The following is a 26146-nucleotide window of genomic DNA, read 5'->3' as shown; positions in this document are numbered from 1 at the left end:
GCCCGGCTTGCTCTGAATTTTTTAGAAAGAAATATAATATTATAGGTCAAACCTCCTTTCTTTTCTCTATTTTCTCAGAGATAAACAACATCCTAAGTTTGGTATTTATGCATGTTTTAATCTTTTGTACATATATATAATCCATAAATATATGGTACTGCTTTGCATATTTTAAGCTACATGTAAATGGTATAATGATGTATATATATATTCTACATCTTGCTTTGAAGCCCAGCACTACATTTCTGAGGTTATCCTTGTTGACACATATGGCTCCAGTTCGTTTAAAATGTTATATAGTATTTCACAGCATGACTGTATCACAATTTTTTATTCTTCTGTTGATAGATTTGATGCTATTTCCAATTTTTGCTGTTATAAATGGTGCTGCAAACACCAATCCTATGCATGACTCCCTGTGCACATGTAAAACAGTTTTTTTAGAACCTAGGAGAAATACTGGATTATAAATACTTAACAGTTTACATTTTGTTTAGAATAGATTCTGAAATTTGTTTCAAGAAGAGGTAATAAAAATATAATTATTCTTGAGTGAGGCTTATAATTCCCCAAAACACTAGTTTATTATTATGCTAATTTAGTGATCTGCAATCAGTATCAGAACTATCCCAAAGAGTGATCTGCATTTCAGTTTATAAAGAATTATGCTGATATAGCCTGAGGCTTTTGTAGAAATTAGCTAATAAATCAATTTTAAACATATGGATGAATTTTGAAACACACACAGTGAGATATTAGCTGACTTCATTCCCCAGTATAGAATAAGATTTCTGAAATTCCACGCTTCATTATAGTGTGAAAGTGATGACTAAGTGAAGCTTCTTATTAAACAATTATCTATGGGAATACATGTATACATGAAATTAACAAGCATGCCACTTATTCTTTGCTGATAGAGATATTTGTCTTCAATGGCTATGCCCAAGTATTTAATCATAGTTTATACTTAAAGATGGCAGTGCTAGTTTATAGAGTTGTATCTTATGAATAATACAGGTTATTATCCCAAATCTGAAAATATGAAATCTAAAATGCTCGAGAATCTAAATTTTGGGGGCACTGACATGATGCTCAAAGGAAATGTTCACTGAAGTATTTCTGATTTGAATTTGGAATGCTCAACCAATGCAAATATTCCAAAATCTGACACTTCTGGTCCTAAGCATTTCAGATAAGGGATACTCAACCTTTAATAATAATAATAAAGAAAAGACCATTGATCCTGAAGCAAACAATTTACTGTGGAATAGTTTTCGTTTAATTTTTAGTTTTAATTTAATTTTTCAAAGCAAGTTAAATATTTGCCAAGGTATCTAAATTACGAGAGGAGAAAAGGTAGCAGTTAATGATTCTTTGCCTAATTTTTGGAAGTAAACACTTACCATACTATTCCTTGAGCTCCTGAGCCTATAGGTTTTAAATTCTGATATCGTTTCAGGACTGTGAATGTAGAATCTCCAATCTCTACACTATAAAAATTGTTGTCACGCTTGCTTCTGCTCATGATGGCAAGCAATTAATTTAATGGCTTCATCCAAAAATTCACCAAGAAGCTGCAAGATGCAACAAAACATGATGTTAACAAAATGAACTTGTTTTAATCTTAAAATTTGAGTCCTTACTGTTTACGTACTGATAGTAACACAGACTGCTAGATCATGAAAAGAGCTGCTTCATTAAAAAACATAAGAAAAAAAATACCGCAGAGCCTTGATTAGCATATGCCATATGAATGACTGATAGTTTTTTTTAAAAAAGAAACATTAGGATAAATCATTCCTCCAATCTAGAAGTTACCAGTATTAATACATTAATAACTTACAAGACGAACAAAAGAAAGCAAATAATTAAAATTAAACATGTTTTTACGTCACTCCACAGTTTAAAATTTAAAACCAGTCTTTCTCATGTGCTTATTATAGAGAATAAAAACCTTAATTTTTGTAAGAAATTTATAAACTTTGATTCAAAAATGGTTAAGTCTCATTTAGTGCCAAGTGGAGGGAACAACAAATGGAAATAAGTTGACTAGCATGTGTCATCCTTGCCTAAAAAACAAAGGGTACCACAGTGCCTTCACTGTGACAGATCCTCTGACCTGCCAAGGCAACCTCCTGGTGTAACACACATACTGAGACTGTAATGGGTGAAAGGATGAGAAGCAAAACAGAAAGGAGAGAGAGAGAAGTAGTTAGGCATATTGGGATACAAAACAAAACAATACTATTCTATCCTGCCTGAGGCATTAAAAGTACGATTCAACTTCTGACTACCATTCCTTTACTACTTGTAGGATTAAAAATCAAGACACTTTTTTTCTACCCATGTGAATACTGGTTATTAACAAACTTATCCATCCTTACTAGACAAAAGAGACTATTCCAAAATGTATGCAAAGCAGCTTTAACCTATTCCTCGCCTCCTCAATAAGTCATGAAACCAATTAGGTCTAAAGTTATTGTTTTTTGTGGTTTTAAGATAATGCTAACCCCCAAGAAATCCTGATATGACTTACAATACAAAGAATTAATTCAGCAGATATTAATTGCCTACTAGGCAGTCTGCATGTCCTGGGGCCAGATCACAAACTAGGTAAGAAGGTGAGCCACTGGAGAGAGCATGAGAATGCCTTGACCTGATCCTTGGCTGCGACATGTAGATTGTACTGCAGGAGAAAGGGGGAGCAAGAGTGGAATATGAACTTTTGAGAGACTATTATAATGACTCAGATGAAAGAGAAACAATGAAGAGTCTTAGGCCTAAAGGAGTTAAAAATAAACAAAACTAAACAGGAAACTCCAAACTATGTAAGCTGTAAAACCGAGGACAAATAAACTAGAAACAAATGAGGAATTAGACTTGGATACATTTTAAAAGGTCCAGAGAAACATTTCTAAAATCACTAACTGGACTAGTCATGTAGTGCTCCAGGGAAGACTGTCTGAAATGACAAGACTCATAAATTCTTCTTAAGTGGACAGCCCATAATAAAGAAAGGAGCTTTGGTAATGATTTAAACACTGAGCTATGTTCACACAATGCTCACATACAGGGATTGTTCATCCTAATCATTTTCCTACCATAACCTGAATTCCCTCTTACCTACTACAGTAGTGAAATAAGGAAGAAGAGAAGTGGGAAGAGTGGAAGAGGAGTGTTGGCTGTCAAGCCCTTTATTAATTATTCTACACATTTATCCTGGAAACTGGGTCAGCGGGGGACATGGAGACAGTAATAATGATCTCTGATAATCTGCAAATATGAGCAGAGGCTGAGCACAAAGTTGATGGTGTTTTCACCTTTGGGAAGGTTAAACCTTCCACCCAAGCATTCAGACTACCTGCAGATTAGGATTCCTAACCTTACTTGGAGGAGTCATATGTCTCTCTCAAAAAGATTAAGATAATCAGGAGACAAAGGGGTACTCTGGTGCTTCACAGGAGGTGATATATTGTTACCAAAGCAGGTAACAAAACACTGTGTTTCAGAGTTTCTCCACTTGCTGGAAAAAAAGAAAAAGCTTGAGTAGATCCAGGAACATGCATGCAGTAGGGCAGGTTTCCTTTTCTGCTAAAAGAATAACAGCAAGGAAAAGCTCCTTTCTGTTCTCAGAACAGGGTGGCCCGGCCACAGGAGTGGGATTCACGGTGACAAGAAGTCTGAACAAAGGCTATGGCAGGCAGATGAGCATGGATAGTCACAACTCCCCAGGAGCAGGGCAGAGGCAGGCAGACAGGCTCCAAGGTTAAGCAGGCAGCCCCAGCTAGTAGTACCCTTGGCAGAAGCCACAGCTGCCACTTACAAGAACAGAAGACACACAACTCTCTACTCACTTATACTCAGTCATGCAATATTCAAACCTGATTTAAGCACCATGCTACGTACTGTTAACAAGATGGTAATCAGCATCTGGCTCCTCACAGTGTTGCAGCTAGGACAGAAAAAGAGACCTTAAGCTGATGGCTACCTGCCTGACTGAAACTACAGCTGTGGTAAGGACAATGAAGGAAAGCGGCAGGATGTCAAAGAAGCCTATGCCAGTCTGGGCTCAGGAACAGATACTCCTGACAACATGACGTTTAAGCAAGATCTGAACACTGAATATGAGTCAACCAGACAGGGAGAGGAGAGAGCTTTCTAGGCAGAAAAAAACAAATCGAATGCAAAGGACCTAAAAATTGTACCAACTGTACAATTTGATGAGTTTCGATTAATGTATACAATTACGTAACCATCATCAGGAAAATCATGATATAAAACATTCCCATTACTTCAATACATTCCCTATATGGTCAATCTCCACTCTCTACCCCTTGCCCCCCAACTCCTAGCAACCACTGAATTGGTTATTGTGCCTTTTCTAGATCTGCATATAAATGAAATCACACAGCATGTAATTTTTGTTTGGCGTCTTTCATTTGTTCTAATGATTTTGAGATTCATCCATGCTGGAGTCCTTTTACTAGGGAATAAATTTCATTGTGTGGACGTACCACTTGGACATTTCAACTGTTTACAGTTTTAGGGTTATTATAAATGATGCTGGTATGAATTTCACTTTTTCTTCATTCATCTTCGTTTAATTATCTAGGAGTGGAATTGCTGAGCCCTACATTTTTAAGAAATTGTCAAACTGTCTTGCAAAGAGGCCATATCATTTTTCATTTGCACCAGCAACATGTGAGAGGTCCAGTTGTTCCACATTCTTCGGATTGCCATTTAATTTTATCTATACTAGTGGGTGTACAGTGGTATTTCATGGTGGTTTACATTTACATTTCCTAATAACTAATGAAGGTGAGCACCTTTTCATGGGCTTATATGCCGTTTATGTAATTATTTTTGGTGAAATAGCTATTCAGTTCTTTTCCCTATTGTAAAAATACGGCTGTCTTCTTATGAGTTTTAAGACTATACATTCTAGATACACATCCTTTGTCAGATGTTTTGCAACTATTTTTTCCCAGTCTGTGGCTTGCCTTTCCATTTTCTTAACAATGTCTTTTTATTTTGAAATAATTTCAGACTCACATAGAAGTTACAAAAATATTACAGTTTCTGGGTACCTTTCACCCAGCAACAACATCTGACAAACCATAGTACAACTATCAAAATGAGGAAACTAACACTGGTATAAAACTATTAATCAAACTAGAAACTTTCCTCAGATTTTACCAGTTTTTACATGCCCTGTGTGTGTATAGTTCTATACAAATTTATCACATACTTTATATTAGTATAACCTCCACTACAATCAGAATACTGAACTATTCCGGCCTGGTACAGTGGCTCACTCCTGTAATCCTAGCACTTTGGGAGGCTGAGGAGGGCAGATCACTTGAGGTCAGGAGTTCAATACCAGCCTGGCTAACACGGTGAAACCCTGTCTGTACTAAAAACACAAAAATTAGCTGGGCGTGGTGGCATATGCCTGTAGTCCCAGCTACTTGGGAGGCTGAGGCAGGAGAATCGCTTGAACCCTGGAGACGAAGGTTGCAGTGAGCCAAGATCGTACCACTGCACTCCAGCCTGGGTGACAGAATGAGACTCTGTCTCAAAAAAAGAAAAAAAGAATACTGAACTATTCCATCACCTCAAAGAAACATCTTCATGCCATCCCTTTATAATCACATACTCCTCCCAAGTCTACCTGCGGCAACTACTAATCTGTTCTTTGTCACTATCATTTTTTTCATTTAAAAAGTTATAGGTTAGTAGTAGTGGCTCATATCTATAATCCTGGCACTTTGGAAGGCCAAGACAGAAGGACTCCTTGAGCCCAGGAGTTCGAGACCAGCCTAGGCAACATAGAGAGACCCCATCTCTATAAAAAATGAAAGAAAAAAAAAATCTGCCACAGTAGTAGTGCACATCTATAGTCCTAGCTATTTGGGAGGCTGAGGCAGAAGGATCACTTCAGCCCAGGAGTCAGAGGCTGCAGTGAGCTATGATAGCACTACTGCATGCTATCCTGGGCAACAGAGTGAGACTGTCTCAAAAAAAAAAAAAGGTTATACAAATTAAAATTACCATAAGTAATCTTTTAAATCTTTTGAAATCTGAGGAAAATTTCTAGTTTGGTTAATAGTTTTATACCAGTGTTAGTTTCCTCATTTTGATAGTTGTACTATGGTTTGTCAAATGCTGTTGCTGGGTGAAAGGTACCCAGAAACTGTAATATTTTGTAACTTCTATGTGAGCCTAAAATTATTTCAAAATAAAAAGACACTGTTAAGAAAATGGAAAGGCAAGCCACAGACTGGGAAAAAAATAGTTGTAAAACATCTGACAAAGGATGTGTATCTGGAATGTATATAGGCTTAAAACTCATAAGAAGACAGCCGTATTTTTATAATAGGGAAAAGAACTGAATAGCTATTTCACTCAGTATAATGCCCTTAAGATTCTCCAAGGTGTTGGTATATCAATAGCTTGCTCTTTTTCTTACTGAATATTATTCATTGTATGAATGTATGACAATTTGCTATCTATTCACCCCTTGCTGGCTATGACAAAGCTGTTCTAAGGCTTTGTGTACATGTTTTTGTGTGAATATAAGTTTTCAATTCTTTAGGGTAAATATCCAGGAGTAAGATATGGTAACTCCATGTTTAATTTTATAAGAAACTGGCAAACTGTTTTCCAGAGTGCTGTATCATTTTGCACTTCCACCAGCAATGTGTGAAAGATCTAGTTCCTCTACATTCTTACCAACTCTTCGTTTTGCCAGTACTTTTAATTTTAGCCATTCTAGTACGTGTGTCATATCTCATCATGGCTTTAAATTTGCATTTTCCTAGTAGCTAATCATGTTGAGCATCTTTTCATGTGCTTCTTTGTCATCTATATACTCTTTGGTGAAGTGTCTGTTCAGTGTTTTACTCATTTTCTAATTGCATTGTCTTATTTCCTACTGTTGAGTTTAGAGACTTTTAAAATATATTCGGGATACACATTTATCAGACATGCGATTTCCAAGTATTTTCTTCCAGTCTGTGGCTTGCCTTTTTATGCTCTTAACAGTGTCTTTCACAGAGTAAAAGTTTTTAATTTTGATGAAGCCCAAGTCATTATTTTTTTCTCCTTTATGGATTTGGTACAAGAAATGTTCACCTGGCCCTAGATCAAAAAGATCTTCTCTTTTGTTTCCTTATAAAAGTTTTATAGTTCACACTTTACATTTAGATCTATGATAACTGTTGTATAAGAGTTTTAAGTCAAAGTTTATTTCTTTGGTTATTATCTAATTATACTAATACCATTTGTTGCAAAAAGCATCATTTCTCCCCACTGAATTACTTTTGCATCTTTGTCAAACTTCAGTTGGCTCTACTTGTACGGGTCTACTTCTGGACTTTTAATTCTGTTTCACTGATCTATCTTTTGATCAATACCACAGTGTCCTGAGTATAATGCTGTATGTTACGTCTTAGTTAGAATCTAGTGGTGTGATTTTTTTCAGCTCTATTCTTCTTACTCAAAATTGTTTCCAGTTACTTCATAATTCTATATACATTTTAGAATAAATTTGTCCATGTCTACAAAAAATAATGCTAAGATTTTGATAGGAATTGTGTTAACAGTGACTTTTGAAGATCAAAAGTTTTTAATTTGGATGATGTACAGCTGGTTTATTTTTTCTTTCACAGTTTGGTTCTGTATGTCTAAGAAATCATTGCCCACTTAAAGGTTAAGATTCATTGTTTTGCATTCAGATGTCCAATTGTCCAAAAATCATTTGTTAAAAAGATTACCAGTTTCCTCCACTGAATTGCCTTAGCAGTTTTGCTGAAAATCAGATAAATATATGTGTCTGGGCCTATTTCTGAACTATTTTCTATACCATTAATAATATGTTTATCCTTCGGCCAATACCACACTGTCTTGAGTAATGTAGCTTTCTAGTAAGTGTGAAAATCAGGCAATTTAAGTCATTAAACTTTGTTCTTTTTTAAAATTGTCAGCTATTCTAGGTCCTTTGTATTTTTATATAAATATCAGAACTAAGCTTGTCAATTTTTACAAAAAAGGCCTGCAAAGATATTGACTAGAATTGCATTTATGGTATACATCAATTTGGGGAGAAATGGTATTATAGTAATTTTGAGTTTTTTGATTCACAGACATGACACTTGTTTCCATAGGCCTGTATAATAATTTCTAACATACAGGCTTTACATAATTTTGTTTAACTTCTCCATAAGCATTAAGATTTTGAATGCTAATATTTTTATTTTAATTTGTTTGTATTTAAATTTCCAATTACCCATTACTAGTATGTAGAAATGCAATGAATTTCTGTATAATGATTTTGTAATAGACTCACTTATTCATCTTAGTAGGCTTTTTTTGTGTATTGGGATTTTCTGTATACAAAAGCAATTTATTTTTTCATTTCCAATTTGAATGCCTTTGAATTCTTTTTCTTGCTCCACTGCCCTAACTATAATTTCCATACAATGCCGAATAGAAGTGGTGCCTGTTCATGATCTTAAGAGAGAAAGCATTCAGTCTTTCATCACTAAGCATGATATATATATTATAGGATTTTACTAGTTGTCCTTTGACAGACAGGTTGAGAAAGTTCCCTTTAAATCCTAGTTTGAGAGTTTTTATCATTAATGGTACTAATTCTGTTAAATGACTTTTCTGAATATACTGAAATAATCATATAGTTTTCTTTCTTAGTTGGTTCATATGGCTAATTACACTGATTGATTTTCAAATGTTAAACCACCCTTGCATTCATGGAATAAATCCCGCTTGGTCATAAAATATTATCCTTTTTATGTATTGATTCAGCTAGCTAAAATTTCATTGAAGATTTTTCCATCTATTTTATAAGGAATACTGGACTGTAGTTTTCTTTCATATTAGAGTAATGCTGACATAAAATGAGTTGCAACAGTGTTCCCTCTTATTTTCAGAAAGAGTGTATGGAAATGATATTCATCTTTAAATGTTTCATAGACTATCTCAGTGAAGTCTTCTATGATGAGTTGTTTTCTTTTTGAGGGAATGTTTTAATTATAAATCTACATTCTCTTATAAACATAGGGCTGTTTGGCAACTATTTCTTCTTAAACAGGCTTTGTTAGTTTGTGTTTTTCAAGGAAATTGCTCATTTAATAATCTAAGTTGTCCAATTTAATGTCTATAGAATCTATACTCATCTCTCCTCTTTCATTCCTATTAATCTCATTTGTGTCTTCTTTTTTCTAATCAGTCTGGCTAGAATTTTATCACTATTAGTGATCTTTTCAAAAAAACAAGATTTTAATTTCTCTTACTTTTCTCTAATGTTTTACACTTTTATATTTCAATGCTTCCTATTTTATCTTTATTTTCTTCTCATTGCTTGTTTTGGAGCTATTCTTTCTTTTAGTTTCTTAAAATGCAATCTTAAAAGTACTGATTTGAGAACTGCTTTTTATAATATAAGCATTTAAGCATCATTGCAAGCTTCATCTGACAACTTCATATCCATATTCAACAATAAAGCAGACACTTTAAAAAAATCTTACTTTACATGGGGTCCTGTTTCAAGGGCTTTGTAAATACTATTTTAATACTGAAAACAACCCTAGGAGGGTTTTCTATTTGTTTACAGCTAGAGGGTAAATCTAGTCCGTGGTATTACATCCCATATTCACATTTTGTCTGATGTTTCCTTATGTTAGGAAAGGTACTACATTTTTTCCATCTTACAGATTATGAAACTGAATCTTAGAATGATTAATTGACTATGGTTACAATGTAAGGGGTAGAGAATTTGAGTCCTTCAAATTTTGGACTACAATGAGTCCAAAAATATAATCTTGAAGATAAAGAGAATATGGAGGAAGAGAAGTTGTAAGTCTTAAACCTGTTGAGTCTGAGATAACTTTAAGACATTCAAATGGAAATATCAATTTGGTATCTAGATATAGAACTGGATCCCAGATGAGTAGTCTCGGTGAAAGATAAATGTAGGAGTTGTCACTGTAACTGGAGCAATGAGAGACAAGTTATTCAAGAGTAGTCGTTAAGTAAAAAGATACCTAAGATTCAGCTTTATAACAACCACATTTAATGAGCAACTGGAGAAAGATGAGCTGACAAGGAAGCCACAGAAGATGCAGCCAGAGACCTAGACAGAAAACAAGAACATACTGAAGAAGCCAAAGGAAGAGAGTGTTTTAAAGAACAAAATGGCTAATAGCATTGATTTTAACAGAGGTGTCAAATAAGCCATTTGAGTAGAGCGAACGCAGCAGAAGCTAGATTAAAATGAGCTGCCATGTAACTGGGAAATTTATAAGGAAACTGGATATAGCTACTTCTTTAGAGAAGTTTAACAAAGAAGACCAAAGATGAAATAGATAAAGAGGAGTAAATGGTCAAGGGAGGATAATTAGATTATATAGTATATATGATATAGCATAGTATAACACATATAACATAGAGACAACCTGAACATGTTTATATGCTAACAAAAAGGATCCAATAAAGAGAGGAAGAGTGAGAATGGGGGAATGAGAAAGAAAATAGGTTTCTCAGATAGCATATTATTTCCAAAAAGGAAGAAAAGAATGGGATCCAGAGCACATGTGTGGCCATACGGATGGAGATATTAGTGTGTCACTACCATAAAAAAGTATCATCAAAAGACTGAGAAAAAGTGCAATTTCCAAGTGTGATATTATATATCTATTACATATTAGATAATAACATATATATAATTCTATGTATTGTATATATAGGGAACATATATATAGGTTTTCATCCACAGCTCCCGGCTCTTAACTCCCATATACCTTGTTACAGACTTTGGTTATGATGTTGGGGTGCTCCAGGCCTCAGAAAACAGAATCTCTCTCTCTGATTTTCCCATCCTCCTTTCACCAGCTCAAGGCAAGAGTCTAATCTTCCCCTGCCTTTCTGACTGCAGGTCATAAGACTCTCATTTCAGAAGTGGTCCTGTCCCACACCCTTGAGAAAGGAATGCTGCACAGAAAGGCTAAGAAGAATTTGGACAGACAGGCTTGTGGGTTTCTCCACTCGGCCTGTTAGTATTAGATTATACCCTTTTTGTCCAATCCCATTTCCACATGGTTGTCAATCATGCCTATCCAATAAATCTCCATGAAAGGCTCAAGAGGACAGGGTTCAGGGAACTTTCGGATAGCTGAACACGTGGAGGATTCTGGAAGATGGCGTGCCCTGGGAAGGTCTGGAAGCTCTGTGTTCCTTCCCCCATACCTTACCCTATGCATCTCATTATCTGCATCCTTTGTAATATCCTTTATAATAAACTGGTAAAGGTGTTTCCCTCAGTTTTGTAAAGCTGCTCTAGCAAATTAATCTAACCCAAAGAGAGGGGCATGGGAACCTCAACTTGGAGCCAGTCAGAAGTTCCAGACCTGAGACTGGTATCTGGTGGCGGTGGGAGGGGACTGGGCCCTCGACTTGTGAGATCTCATGCTATCTCCAGGTAACTAGTGTCAGAATGGAATTGGAAGACACTTAGCAGGCATCTGCTGCAAAACTGATCGCTTGCTTGGTGTGTGGGGAACTCCCCCTATGCAACATTTGATCACATAAGTCTTCTGTGATTGTTGTGTTGAGAGAACAGAAAAAAAGCACTTTGAGTTTTTCCACATTCACCAAGATAAGGGCATTAAGGATACTGGTGAGATTTATAGAGGATGCATTTGATATACTGATCTCTCCATCATGAAGCTTGAACAGCAAGAGTATGTGTGAGAAGGAAATGCCATGGTTTCTGATGACTCATTTCCCTACTTAGAAGGCTTCTGAGATTAAAAACAAAGGAACTCTTGTTATAGAATTTAGATGTAACTGATTAAAACATATGAACAAATATTGGCATTATTATCCCAGTTAACAGATGGAATAATCTGAGGCTCAAAAGAATTAATGTGCAACCAAAAGTATGGAAATACTGAGGTTCGGCTTTAACTTTCAAATCTCACCTGTTACTACTCCTACAGCAAGAAGACTACAACCATGTCAACACAGCTAAACTACCATCCCCCAAACTCTGATGTATCTCATTTGTTCATTTCCCTTTCCCTTTCATGAAATATTTTTAACACTCTTTTGTATCTATCCAAATTTTGTCTAAGACTAGCTTAAATGTGATCTTCATAAGCCTTTTCCATTCAAACCAGCTCTAACCTAAATTCTCATCTAAACTACTTTGCTGTATATTTACTTATGCAGATTTTATTATCAGACTATGGTCTTTCTGAGGACAATAGCTGCATCTCCTACATTTTCAGATTTCCAAAACAGGCTCTTCACAGAGTTAGAACAAACAACTGCTAAAAAAGTTAACCAAAATGTAAATCTTTTTAAAGTAACAAATTACTTAATAAATTGTTTCATGTGTCTTTACCAGTGTTTCTCTTCATTAGTAAAGGGGGGCGGCTATATTAGGTTTTTATGACTCAAGGTTTATTTCTGTGATATCTTTATATATCAGGCTGACCGCCCCCGCTCCGCCCCGTCCATAAAATGGCTAGGCTGTCAAGCCTGAATGTAGAAACACACAGGTTAAACTAGTTACATAAAACATACTTAAGGAGAAAAGAATAAGTTCAATGCAACCATATAGCCAGACTTTAGAGACCCTGGAAAATAATTCAGGTAATACAACAAGGTTCAGAATTTAAGACAGCTGTAATCATCAGGCAATCCTGGCAATAAGTCACTGAGGTAACTTAGAGCCTATCTATTTTTACTTAACCTGGTTCTTTGGCTACCAATAGACCTATCTATGACAGTTAATTTTATGCATCAACTTGCCTAGGACACAGGGTGCCCATATATTTGGTTAAACATTATTCTGGGTGTTTCTGTGAAGGTGTTTTGGATAATTTTAACATTTATATAAATAAACAGACTGAGTAAAGCTGACTGCACTCTGTGATGTGGGTGGGCCTCATTCAATCAGTAGAAGCCCTGAATAAAACAAAAAGTATGAATAAGTGGGAACTCTTCCTGCCTGCCTTGAGCTTGGACATTGGTGTTTTCCTGCCTTTAGACTCAAACTGAAACATCAGCTCTTCCTAGATCTTGAGCCTACTGGCCTTTGGACTGAAACTACATTCGGTGTTCTGGTTCTCAGGCCTTTGGACTCAAACTGGTGCTACACCATCAGCTATCCAGGGTCTTCAGCTTGCAAGCTGCAGATCTTGGGACCTATGAACCTCCATACCCACATGAACTAATTCCGTATAATAAATCTCTTAATACAGCTCCTCAGAGATGCCTTACTTGACTAGCCTATCTAAATTCCCCTTTAAGCACACTCTCTCCCCTCAACCCACTTCATTTTTCTTCATATCACTTACCATTGCTAACATTCTAGTACATGGTTATTATCTGTCCCACTCAAACCCAAGTTCCATGAAAGCATGAATTTTGTTCTGTTCATGAATAAATCACCAGTGCCTTGAGTAGTACCTGGCTAACAGCAGACATTCAAAAAAGTGTTGAATGAACCAATGAACAAGTGAACAAACTGTTATTTTAAATTCCCATTATGAATTGCCTGTCTTTCTCCTCTCAAGGAGTAGTTTACAGGAGAGAAAGAGAAAGAGAAAGATGATTAATCTTGTTATTGCTGTTTATGCAGTTTTCATACCAGGCCACTTCATAAGCCATTAGCCTTGAGCCAGAGGCTTGCCCTGGTCTAATCAGTTATGGACAAAGTGGCAGAACCACATGTTACAGGATCCGCTGAGTAAGTGCTTCTTCAAGAGGCAGATAATAACCTTTAAGGTGAGTGCTCATAGTGAGCACTATGAGGTTAGCTCTAACGAATGAAGTCTCACTACTTTCAGAATATAGTAAGAATTTCTTGGCCTCAACCCTAACTCACATCATTTTCCTAAAAGAGTAATAAGCTTAAATTTAACCTCACTCCTTATTAGCCCTCAACTGGCCTTTAGATCAGATCTCAGCTGCCACCATACAAATGCATCTATTTCAGTTCTAGGTATTCTCAAAGTTCATTTTTCAACTATATTTTAAGTAATTAATACAGAAATACCACTATGTCCTGCACTAAGAAGGCCTATTCCAACAACAGACTTGTCTACAATTTAACCAAAAGTAGTAGAAACAATATGTGAAATATAGGGTGCATCCTAGGGTACTCTCCCCTTCCTCCTTTCCCCCCAAAAAACTATGGCTGACTAGCCATTTATGTCTCTCCGGACATACACTTTTCTTCTTTCCTTAGGAGACTGCCTACTAAGTGGTGTGAATGAAGTGCCCAATCTTGGACTTTACGGTTCCTCCTCTATACTAAGGTAGTAGAGCCATATGAAGAGTAAGCCAGCCTAGGTCTGAGCATTGTACTACAGGGCCCAGACTGAGACAGCCTATGTTTCAGTCACTGCTGACACTAGCACCAAATAAAGAAAACCAGAATTTTACTCCCATTCTCACCTGGGCATATTATTAAAGAGAAATTATTTTGTAATCTCACAATTGAGATTATATACTGAAGAAACAGATAAGAGTGTGGGTTATCTTCTTAAAACTGGGGGGAACATGCTAGAAAAGAAAAAGCTCTAGAAAGAGAATGTCTCATTGGTAAGTTTCCAGTTAACTGTCCCATTTTTATCCTCTTAAAGGGGTTTTTACATTGATTCCCACAGCAACCACCAGCCTAGAGGGGCATACTACTTCCCTCTCTTTCTACTTTAGTTGAATGAAGGACTTGATACCAAATCTCTTCCTTTGCCTCCTTTGAGATGAGTAACATCTTAAAAGTGATGTTACTAAAATACTAAAGCAAAAGAAAAGGGAAATAATGAAAACTACAATAAAACAAAGTTTTATCATAAACCTACTTAATGGCTAACCTTAGAATTTAGCCAACTGATTTCAGAAGCTATCTCACAGAAAGGTGAGGCTAACGAGCTCCTGAAATTCCCACAACAAATACACGATTAGTAAGAATTAAGATTCTAGAGTTTATTATTAAAACAAAATGAAGTAAAGCTGGCAGGCAAGAAGGAACATTTTAGAATTCCCTACCTATACCATGTTTAAAGCTGAATGAATATACAACACCTGTATACTTTCCTTTTGCCTTTCAGTCTAGCTTAGTCACTCTCCAATTTAAATGTGTGTAAGAATTAATGCTCAAGAGTGTATATGTACACAAAAGATTTCATATTGGCTTTTATGAGTTGAGGAACTTTCAAGGGTGATTCTGACTTTGGCTTTACACACTAACTTTAGACTCGAGCCCAGAGTGCACAAAATTCCACTCTTCCAAATAATCCACAAAACTGACATAGTCAAAATTACCCCGAAAATCTCCTTAAATCATAATGTAACATTTAGTACAATAACATTCAGGGCCATGATTTTATTTAAAGTATTTACACTACATATGACATGCTCATCTGACGGGAGACATGTACAAACTAAGAGAGAACAGCAGATTCTCATCTGCAAGGGCATAAGCTTCCTAGGATGGGCAGAATTGTCTGTACTACTGAAACTGTCATTTTATCTGTCAAGACAGGTACAGCTGGATATTCAAAAGTTAAATTCATGTATAATAAAATGTCACTACCATAAGCAGTTTAAAAATGAGGCTTCCAGGAAGAGGTTATAATCTTATAAAAATATATAATCTTATAAAATCTTACACAATTTTATAAAAATTAATCTGAGCTCTTTCCAGATGATTCCCCTCCATATTTAGGATTCTTCTTTCTCCTTCTCCCTTTTCTGTACTACTCGCTTATAAAGAAGAGGTTACAGTTCTACTCCCACAGACCCTCCGTAATAGAGGGCAAATCCTTTAAGCATCAGTATAATTAGCATGTTTCTTTAGTTGCCCATGAGTCCAGAAAAAAATTATTACAGCCAAGAGACAACTTTGTTTGCCCTGGCCACTTAACTGTTCTTTCTAGCAGGTATACTAATCATACCTAGTTTGCCCTCTCTTCTAGGAGAATCTGACCCCCACCCACAAAGGGGAGAAAGAGGCCTGGTTTGTAGTTCTGCAATTGGGTTTTTAAAGACCTATTCATAAAATAGATTTAATTCTTAATTGGGCTTATTTGAGTAGGTTTACTACATTCTAACCACAAAATGATGCTAAGACAGAAACTGTCTCAACAAGAAACTGTCCCTTAACAATTTCTACATTTTGAGGAGGGTGGATTTAGCTAAATAGCGCCAGACACATGAAATCAGTAAGCTAATTCAGAACTTGTTTCCAAGTCATTCAGACATTCAAGTTATTTATTAAAGATCTCAAGACTTTACAGCCATATCCTTGGCAGTAAAGTAAGTACATGTTTCTGGCTACTTTAAAATATATATATTTCAATGGAGATGAGGTCTTGCTATATGGCCCACTGGCCTTGAACTCCTTGGTCTCAAGCAATCCTCCTGCCTTGGCCTCCGAAAGTAATGGGATTACAGATGTGAGCCACCGTGCCTGGCCATTTTTGGCTACTGTTTAAACAATAACAAATATAAGTAACGGAAATGATATGGGTATGATATTACCATAACACTTCAGTGAGCTGGTATCCAAGATTCTAAAATTACTTTGTACTCAAAATGGTAAACATTTCAAAATATTCCAAAGTTGGCTTCTGGGCTTGCTCAACTGCATGTAGATTATTAGTGTCAGTAAAGCAACGTCAATTTTCACAAGGACATTCAACTGAATAAATAGGTCATCTACTTTGTAAGAATATACTATTTCCCAAGGTACTCAAAAGCTATTTTAATTTTAAATCTAAGAAAAATTGATACCCATAAATTTCCATAAAATTTTTATGAGGTTTTACACAAGAAAGAATGCTGAGTTTTAAAGGCACCTTTGTACAGTGTACTACTTGGGTTAAATCTTTGCCTATCCAAAAAAATTGGTTACATACTGAAAAATCTCATTCCTTGAGAAGACCCGAATGCCTGACATTTTCTTCTAACTTTTGCCAAATCTTTCACTAATAAGACTCCCAGGCTCATAAAAGAAAATGCTGATCACATTCAACCACCACGAGACAATTCCTAAAACTGCAAATTAAGAATAGCAAATGAGAAGTGTCCCAGATGCATTTTACAGATAATTTTTTTCATATTAGTTGATACCACATATACTTATTGCTAGTTTATCTTGCTAGCAACGTAATTATGATCAGATTTTTTTTTAACGCTAGGTAGTTTTTAGAAAAAAAGATTCCATGGCAAATGGCTTTCTGTAATTAAATGTGCCTGCCCCCAGCAGAAAAAAATAAAATTCACTGAATTTCAGAGTATGTTACAAATGATCTCAAAATCTAAAAGCTCAGCAAGATGGGGCAAAAACTACTATTTCCATTTGATTATGATAACCAAATATGACAAATCTAAGTTGAAGACTTGCAAGACAAGTAAAAAGTTTAATTGTCCAGCTAATGAACCTGTATCAATCTCTAGAAATAGCTTGAATTTTATGCTCTATCTCATCTTCAAGTTGTCCTTCACTGGATAAGGCCTAAAGCCTGGCTAATTAAAAAAAAAACTCATTTTTTACTACCAACAAAGTAACAACAAAGACCAGAAACTAAAAACAAAAATTTTTTTCTGTATAAATCTGTGCCAGACACTAAGTATTTCTCGTCTAATCATCTCTTCCTCTACAAAAGGGATTTACGATTTTCTGGAGTGGTTCAATAACATACATATGGGAAAAGTTCCTGAAACCATTTGAAGGCAATTTAAACATAACATGACTGCCTGACATGCTAGGTAGCAGAAGTGATAATAAAAATAGCTTGTTTTTTTGTGGTTTGGGTTTTTTGATTCATGAATGTCAGCAATGTTAACTAAACATGAGGGTTATGAAAAACAAAACAAAAAAAACTTTTGCTCTATGGAATTCGAGCCCCTTTAAATTATCAGGCCCAGAGAGGCATTTTAAATGTACAGTAGTCATGTCTCACTACCCCTTGAGCTAAATAATTACCTCTTGAAGCCACATGCTATGGAAGCTCTAGACTAACTGACCCCAAGTAGTCATAAAATGCCATATACACTATAGTTCAACAATGTATAGACAATAAATAACCAATGTTATTTCTGTAAACCAACAAGAATTCCTGATGAATACCTTTTTGCAATCAATCCCTTTCCTGATTCATCCTTTTTTTCTCTAAAAATATGAGCCTCTCTTCTGTTCTCTGGAGCACTCCCCAAGACCACTTGGAAGTGTGTCCTAGGCTGCAGTCCTCAACCTTGGCCCAAATACATTATCTGTATTAACTATGCCTCATTTTCTTCCCTTTAGGTTGACATTTCTGGCACTGTGAGCAGGATTCACAGTAAGCCACCCTTAGCCATTCCTGGACTTGGCACCTGGCCAACTATGAAACTCTCATGTTCTTCCAATTCCAAGATAAATTATTGGACAAAAGTCCTACTAATAATCTGGACCTATACCACTCTTTGGTTGAAGGTGTACATTTTATTTGGGCTGTTCTTTCAAACCCTTCTTTTTTAGAAGAGGTCTTTAACCTAGGGGTAACCCTTCAGGCTTGCTTCTTTATCAGAGCTATCCATGCTGAGTCCACACATATATTATGCTTTTTTTGCCCTTTTTCTTAATGGGCTTTCCCAGCTGAACTCAGTAATTTTTAAGCTAACAAAAGTGAACATAAAAAGACCACCCATTCAACAAAATCAGTGTCCAAAATACAGCTTTCTGTCATTTAGTTGGCTATTTATAAAAGAAATTTACATCTACAAAAGAAATCTTCATTTGTAAGGGTCTTTACCTCACTGTACCTGGAGAGGGAGTGCTGAGTCACTAGAAACTTACCATTGGCTTACATTTACATAAGTCTTTGGTGAAGGTGCTTTTCAGGCCATCTTGTCTTTTTATTTTTTGAGACTGTCTCGCTCTGTCGCCCAGGCTGGAGTGCACTAGCGTGATCTCGGCTCACTGCAACCTCTGACTCTCCGGCTCAAGCGATTCTTCTGCCTCACCCTCCCACGCAGCTGGGATTACAGGTGCCCGCTACCACACCTGGCTAATTTTTGTATTTTTAGTAGAGACGGGATCTCATCATGTTGGCCAGGCTAGTCTCACTGACCTCAAGTGATCCACCTGCCTTGGCCTCCCAAAGTGCTGGGATTGCAGGCATGAGCCACGGCACTGGGCCAGGCCATCTTGTCTTAACTGGCTTTTACCTACATCCTTCTTCCTTGGATTTCAGCTCTGGACTTTTGAGTTATATATTTTTTCTACATATTTCATGTTAAGTGTCATCCCTTTAGAAGAACCTAACAACTACTTAGGGCAATAAAATGGGTAACTGGAAAATTAATAGTCTAAAAGAGAGAAATGTATTTAAATTTGGAACAAAAGGAGCAAACAGTGCAACTAAAAAATGAGAATGAAACTACTGAGATTATAAAAATACAGATCTAACAACTTTTTTTTTTCAAAACCAGGACTAATGAATGGCACTGATGATATCCTTTAATGCCCAGCTGGAGTTCACAGTACCTTGGAGAGATAAATCTTATCATGTGTTTGAAATGTTAACATGCAGGGAATTAGCCAAGCAGCATTCCAGCTGAGATAAGATCTAAAACAGAGTTAAAATTCTTTAGAACAACAAAAAATTCCTTTCTTTGGTTAATATCTTTAGCTTAGGAGAGAAACATTTACAAGAATTTGAATATTTTCAATTATTACAATATTAATATGACTCTTGACCCTTTAGGGTACCCATTTGTTACTGATCCTTTTCCCTTCCATGAACAGCTTTTGATTTCCTGTCTTCTTCTGTCTGCCATCAGCTGAAACCCTAGAGAGTACAGTCAAGCAAAAATGTGGATTTGCACCTTATTTGTGGCTACCAAGACTTTCATTATTTAAACTGTCTTTGGGGTGGTTCTGGATCTTGTGAGGGCTTGCTTTGCACCTCTTTGGAGATGGCTTGTGCATCCTTGGTCAAGTCATAAAAATTTTTCTTAAGGCTTATTGGTTTTGGTGAGTCACTTGGAAAGGTACCCTTGGTTAAAAAGAAAAAAAAAGTCAAAAGCCAGGAATATTGGCTGTTTATTCCAGCTAAAATCTGTTAAGAAACTTGAAAATATTTTTTTTTCTTTGAAAGAGGTCTATAGCCAGAAATTAGCTTAATTAAAAGCTGACATTCAGGCTATCTATATATATATACATATATATATACACATAGCTATATATATATACATATATATATATACACATAGCTATATATATACACATAGCTAGCCTGAATGTGTATATATGTATATATACACACAGCTGTATATATATAGCTAGCCTGAGTCATATATATAATATATATTATATATAAGTATATATAAAGATATATAATATATAAAAAATATATAAAATATTTTTTTTTTGTAGAAGAAAGGCCTTTATGTTTTACTCTTTTGGATTCTGTTAACATGATTTTTGCCAAAGATAACGTAAAATTGAATTGGCCTTTTGGAAAGCTTAAATTCTCTGTGCTTGAAATATAAATTTGCTACTTGTTATTTAAAACTTGGTAAGGGCTTCAGGCATATACAATAAACTTGAACTTGTTCTATTTATGAACTTTGAATCCAATGTCCTTTTAAAATAGCGAGTTTTACTTGTCTCATGGCTAGAATTTTTATATCAAAGCTATGAAATCTTCACTTATGTTTGTATTTTTATGTATATATGTGTACAGATCTGTTTGTATATTGTTTACATGGTACCAAACTGACAAATTAATGCTCATAGCTTAATAATCCCAAATATTTTTCAAGTTAATGTGATTTTAGTAATCTTTGAGAAATAAAATTAGCTTTTTAATTGTTGGTAAAATAAAATTAGAATGTCTTCAGACTTGTCAGTTTTAAACACAATCAGACATTTTTGCCTGGGTCTGCTGGTCAGAAAGGTTTAGGCTTTCTCTACTAGATGTCTGAAGCTCATAAAACTATTGCTTCTGTGATATGTTTGATGCTTATTTGACTTGTCTGTGAGCTTATGTATTAGACTCATTAGATTCTGGGCTCTAACAAGTGAGGACTGCAGACATATGTGGTACTCCCTCTGGCCTGGCTGTTGTCTCCTGGCTATGGTGGGAAGAGTCAGACATTATCTTCACAGTTCTGTCCTCTGTCCTGGGCTCCATTATGGGTGTGTAAAATCAGGACTCAGATAGGCCCTGCCCCTTCATAATCATACTTGGGTGCCACGTGGGTAGTTGCGACTCAGTATGACTGAGGAAGACATTAGGAAGGGTATCTGTGTTGCAGTTTCAAAATTCTTTTCAGTAGTTTAAAGTTTTGAAGTCATGTTAGGTTTAATAAAGTAATAGATAATCATAAAATGTTTGAGTCATTTCTACATACATTAAGATACAAAAACATTAATTATTAGATATGTTTTAGTTTAGTTTACATAATTTGGTATTTTGTTTTTACATGGTATAAAAAAGCTAAATATATTTAGATCTGTTAATAATCTTTAGATCTGTTAATAAACAAAAAAGTAGGCATCAATTATATTTTATAGAAATATCTTTCTACGAAACCATGAAATGATTTGTCTACAAATACAGACATAAACCAGTTAACTACTACTTACTTTCTAGGTTTTTCACTTGAAATTAGAACTACTAAGAGTTAAAATCGTAGTTAATATATGTAATTAAAAGTACTAGATACATGGGAAACACTCTTGTATGCAAAGTATACAATGAAAGTAGGATGTGTTTTTGGTGAAGAAAGTTATAAAAAAGAGAGGAGGGTGTGAGTTTTGCTAAAGGAAAAGTAATTTTGCCTAGTTTAGAGGTTAAAGATTGTTTCAAAATTTACATGATATAGCTAAAACTAAAAAGTTGGAGAAAGAAAAAATAAAATTGTAAGAGTTTATAAAAGATTCATGAAAATCTTATCTGGTCAAAGCTGACTGGGATCAGATGGATCTGTTTATTGTAAGATTTTATTAAAATTAGGTTTAATATTAATAATATACTGATACAAAGGTAGGATTTCGTTTTCTCTTTTGAACAAGATTTTCAGGTAGTGTTAACAGGAGATAGTAAAAGGTTTTGTTTACTTTTGAGTAAACTACAAAAGAAAAGGAGGGAGAGAGAGATTTTCTTGAGCTCATGCTGCCTTTATTAGGTCTTATTTGGAAAAGTGAGTCTTTGATGGAGTCTTACTCTTTGATACAGTCTCCTCAAACTTACTCTTTGATGGAGTCTCCTGCTAATCAAAGAGCACAGGTTTTGACTTTTTAAAAATCACTGACTTATCACTTTGTTTAAATGACTGTTTTACAATGACCTGTGATCCTATTTTAACACTGAGCATTTCAAACCTTTCTTATCTTGATATCTGTTTAATTTACATTTATTTATTTATTTTTTTTAGATGGGAGCCCTGCTCTGTCGCCCATGCTGGAGCGCACTGGCGTGATCTTGGCTCACTGCAACCTCCTCCTCCTGGGTTCAAGTGATTCTCTTGCCTCAGCCTCCCAAGTAGCTCACATTCAGGTGCATGCCACCACGCCCGGCTAATTTTTTTGTACTTTTAGTAGATATGGGGTTTCACCATGTTAGCTAGGCTGGTCTCGAACCCCTGACCTCAGGTGATCTGCCTGCCTCAGCCTCCCAAAGTGCTGGGATTACAGGTGTCAGCCACCACGCCCGGCCATATCTAGTGTTTTAAACCTTTGATATCTGATACAGTTCCCCCAAATCAAATTTCAAACATGGAAAGCACTGTCAGACAAGAAATAGTGTTCAGCTTTCTTTGAGTTACAGTTGTATTGATATGTGTTCCAAAATTGTATGCAATTCCTAAACATCTGATATGCCTTGGTATATGCAGTAAACTGTTTTATTCTCATGTCTTTTTTTTGAGACGGAGTCTCGCTCTGTTGCCCAGGGTGGAGTACAATGGCATGATCTCAGCTCACTGCAACATCCGCCTCCCAGGTTCAAGTGATTCTCCTGCCTCAGCCTCCCGGGTAGCTGGGATTACAGGTGCGCACCACCATGCCCGGCTAATTTTTGTATTTTTATTAAAGACGGTGTTTCATCATGTTGGTCAGGCTGGTCTCGAACTACTGACCTCATGATCCGCTCACCTCAGCCTCCCAAAGTGCTGGGATTACAGGCGTGAGCCACTGCATCTAGTCTGTTTTTTTTTTTTTTTTTTTTTAAGAGCTTTGTTTCCCTCCAAATCCTAAAATGTGTGTCTTCAAAGAAATTCGTGGAAAGGACTTTGAATACGAGTTTGTACCATATTCAAGTATTCTTGAATACAGGTTTCAGATAACTATGGAGATGATACCATTGGACTAGGTAAAAATTTCCAAAATTCGAATAAAAAACTGATGTGTTAATGAAGATTGCTAAGCCAACATGAAACAGAACAGGAATTAATTACATGGGACTGAACTGATAGAGGACTGAAATGATTTTTTAATCACTTTTTGTTTGAAACATTGTTGATTCTTCTCATATTTGTTTTGCCAGAGTCCACATTTTTTTTGAGCCATTTATAGCTCATAGCAATTAGGTAAAGTATACTTTTGTGGGGAAAAGTGAAACATTTACCTTCCTCTTTACCTGATTTTCTCCAGAATTTGGGAACTATTTGTGAATATTCTTATTTTATGACATTTATGACAATATAGTTGTTTGTATAAGTGCAATATTTTCTTTGTTTTGTAAGAGGACGCATTGGAGACACTGGTTATTGTACCAAGGTTTAACTGGAACAGCATATGATCAAACTACTTTGAGGAATTAAGGTTGACTTTATAGAGCCAATAAAAAGCCCCTTGGAAAGACTTGACCTAATAAGTTGTCTATACTGTTCCCTTACAAGAATCCTGACTTGCGGTATGTAAAGAATGTCACTTTCTGAGAGTTTCAGGAATATCAAAATATTTTGGGACTTCAAGAAGAGAAGAATTCACCAAACTGTGAAAGTATTACAGGCACAGGCTGATGGTTAATCCCTGGCTTGACTTCTTAGACTTGAGAAGTTTCCAAAAGTCTAATCCAAAATTTCTAACGAAAAAGTTTCAGGCAAAGCCAACTAGTCTATATGACCAATCACTACTCTTGCTGCACTTTATGCAAATAAATCAGGCCAAGTATAATAACTCTAAAACTTTTTTTGCAAATAAATTGGTCTATTTCTCTTCGGTAGAAAAGAGGCACTGGATGGGTGTAGTGGCTTGTGCCTGTAAGCCCAGCTACTCACGGCTGAGGTGGAGGATCACTTGAGCCCAGGAATTCAAGGCTGCAATGAGCTATAATCATGCCACTGCACAACAGCCTGAGTGACAGAGTGAGATTGTTACTAAAGAAAAAATTTCTAAGTATAAATGTATACATTTTATATATATATAATTATGTATTTTAAAAAAATAAAAGGGAGACTAGAGACAGAAAAATCACGTTTCATAAGAAAACTATAACACACCTGTTATTAGATTCTAGCCTGACCATTGTTTTTGAGTTTTCTTATTTGTCTACCACTTGGACTAAATCCTGAATTATTTCCTGGCTACAACCAGTCTGTAAAGAAGAACCAGGTTTTAATTTTTTTCAAGATTTTGTTGTTGGCTCCCTAATGAATAGGTTCTTTTTTCATTCTGACATGTAAATTCACTTTTTGATTGTAGTCAATGTGTGCATTATATTTCTGCAATACAAATTCTTAACTGTTATGTATCTCTCATTGTTTTACTTTGGAGGAAACTAAAATCATGGGATTCCAAAGACTAGGGATGATTCAACAAGCAATGACTTACATAAATCAATGACTTAACTGAGGTCTCATTTCTGCCACTCTGTGATGCCATCCTAAGTCAGCTTTTGGGAACTCTTAAAATTCCTCACTGAGACATTTCCTCCTCCCTCATCAACATGGGACAGCACTACCTGGGAGTGAGACTTCCTGGTGACAAGGGACATCATGACACTTAGATTTTGATTAACAATGCTTTCGAGAAGAAAGATTTTTGACCACAAGGAGTAAAGGTTGCGGAGGGAGGGGGGAAGAAAAGCTTTTTATCTAAGGAATATGGGCCTAAGTTATCAGTCCCAAAAAGGTATTTAAAATCTAACAGCAGTCATGCCTCATTCTCCCTTGAGGTAAATAATTACCCCTTGAAGCCACTTGCTATTCAAGCTCTAGACTAACTGACCTCAAGAAGACATAAAATGCCACACACCTTACAATTTAACAATGTATAGAAAATCATTAACCAATGTTATTTCTGTAAACCAATTAGAATTCCTGATAAGCAACTTTTGTAGTCACTCCCTCCCTATTCATCTTTTATTTATTTTTCAAACAATTTAGTTTATTTATTTCTCATATAATAGTCCAGAGTTAAGTGGGAGAGCCACAGAGAAAAGGCAACTCTATTTCATGAAGTTATCCAAGGACCCAGGTTCCTTTTATCCTGTTGCTCTGTCACCTCCTAGGGAGTTACTGCCCATGTGGTGGGCAATAACGTATCTCTTCTCCAATCCAGGGGAGGGGTGGAAAGAAGACAAGGGTGAGCATCTTCTCTTCTGAGGATATGACTTGCAAGCTACACAATTCCTTCTGCGCAAATTAGCTTGGCTCACACACCACAGTCACATCTTACCGCAAAGTAGCCATGTACCCAACTAAAAGTTGAAGGGTTCAATTGACCAAGAGCAGTGAGGGAGTGGATATCTGGATATAGTGATCAGTCTTTCTACCACGGGTCCAAGAAATGTATTTTTTTTTTAAATTATACTTTAAGTTCTGGGGTACATGTGCAGAATGTGCAGGTCTGTTACATAGGTATACATGTGCCATGGTGGTTTGCTGCACCCATCAACACGTCATCTACATTAGGTATTTCTCCTAATGCTATCCCTCCCCCAAACCCCTGACAGGCCCTGGTGTGTGATGTTCCCCTCCCTGTGTCCATGTGTTCCCATTGTTCAACTCCCACTTAGAAGTGGCAACATGCGGTGTTTGGTTTTCTGTTCTTTTGTTAGTTTGCTGAGAATCATGGTTTCCAGCTTCACCCATGTCCCTGCAAAGGACATGAACTCATCCTTTT

The 26146-nt window shown here is 36.0% G+C and overlaps 1 protein-coding gene across 26 annotated transcripts in view, besides 2 other annotated features; it reads right to left on the bottom strand.

Annotated features, from left to right (window-relative positions):
• MAPK8 (mitogen-activated protein kinase 8) overlaps positions 1–26146 on the bottom strand; it is a 132684-nt gene that overhangs the window by 36175 nt on the left and 70363 nt on the right. For all 26 annotated transcript variants that reach the window (NR_136583.2, NR_136584.2, NR_136585.2 and 23 more), the window contains one exon: positions 1404–1574. Coding sequence is in view for 23 of the 26 variants with exons in the window: in XM_047425482.1 (XP_047281438.1) it covers positions 1404–1525 (122 nt within the window). In the remaining 3 variants the exon portion in view is untranslated. The remainder of the gene's footprint in view (positions 1–1403; positions 1575–26146) is intronic.
• Positions 3113–3855: an enhancer, noted in NCBI's record as "OCT4-NANOG hESC enhancer chr10:49607374-49608116 (GRCh37/hg19 assembly coordinates)". NCBI's record gives its function as "activates a minimal SCP1, AML or CMV promoter by ChIP-STARR-seq in primed H9 embryonic stem cells {active_cell/tissue: H9 hESC(primed)}" and the evidence as "EXISTENCE:reporter gene assay evidence [ECO:0000049][PMID:30033119]".
• Positions 18326–18620: a silencer, noted in NCBI's record as "tiled region #12210; HepG2 Repressive non-DNase unmatched - State 23:Low, and K562 Repressive DNase matched - State 5:Enh". NCBI's record gives its function as "represses a minimal TATA promoter and a strong SV40 promoter by Sharpr-MPRA in HepG2 and K562 cells {active_cell/tissue: HepG2 | K562}" and the evidence as "EXISTENCE:reporter gene assay evidence [ECO:0000049][PMID:27701403]".

The sequence above is a fragment of the Homo sapiens genome, chromosome 10 (genome assembly GCF_000001405.40).
Source record: "Homo sapiens chromosome 10, GRCh38.p14 Primary Assembly".
NCBI lineage: Eukaryota > Metazoa > Chordata > Mammalia > Primates > Hominidae > Homo > Homo sapiens.
The sequence above is the reverse complement of the archived record's forward strand: the minus strand, read 5'-3'. Positions and strand labels throughout refer to the sequence as shown.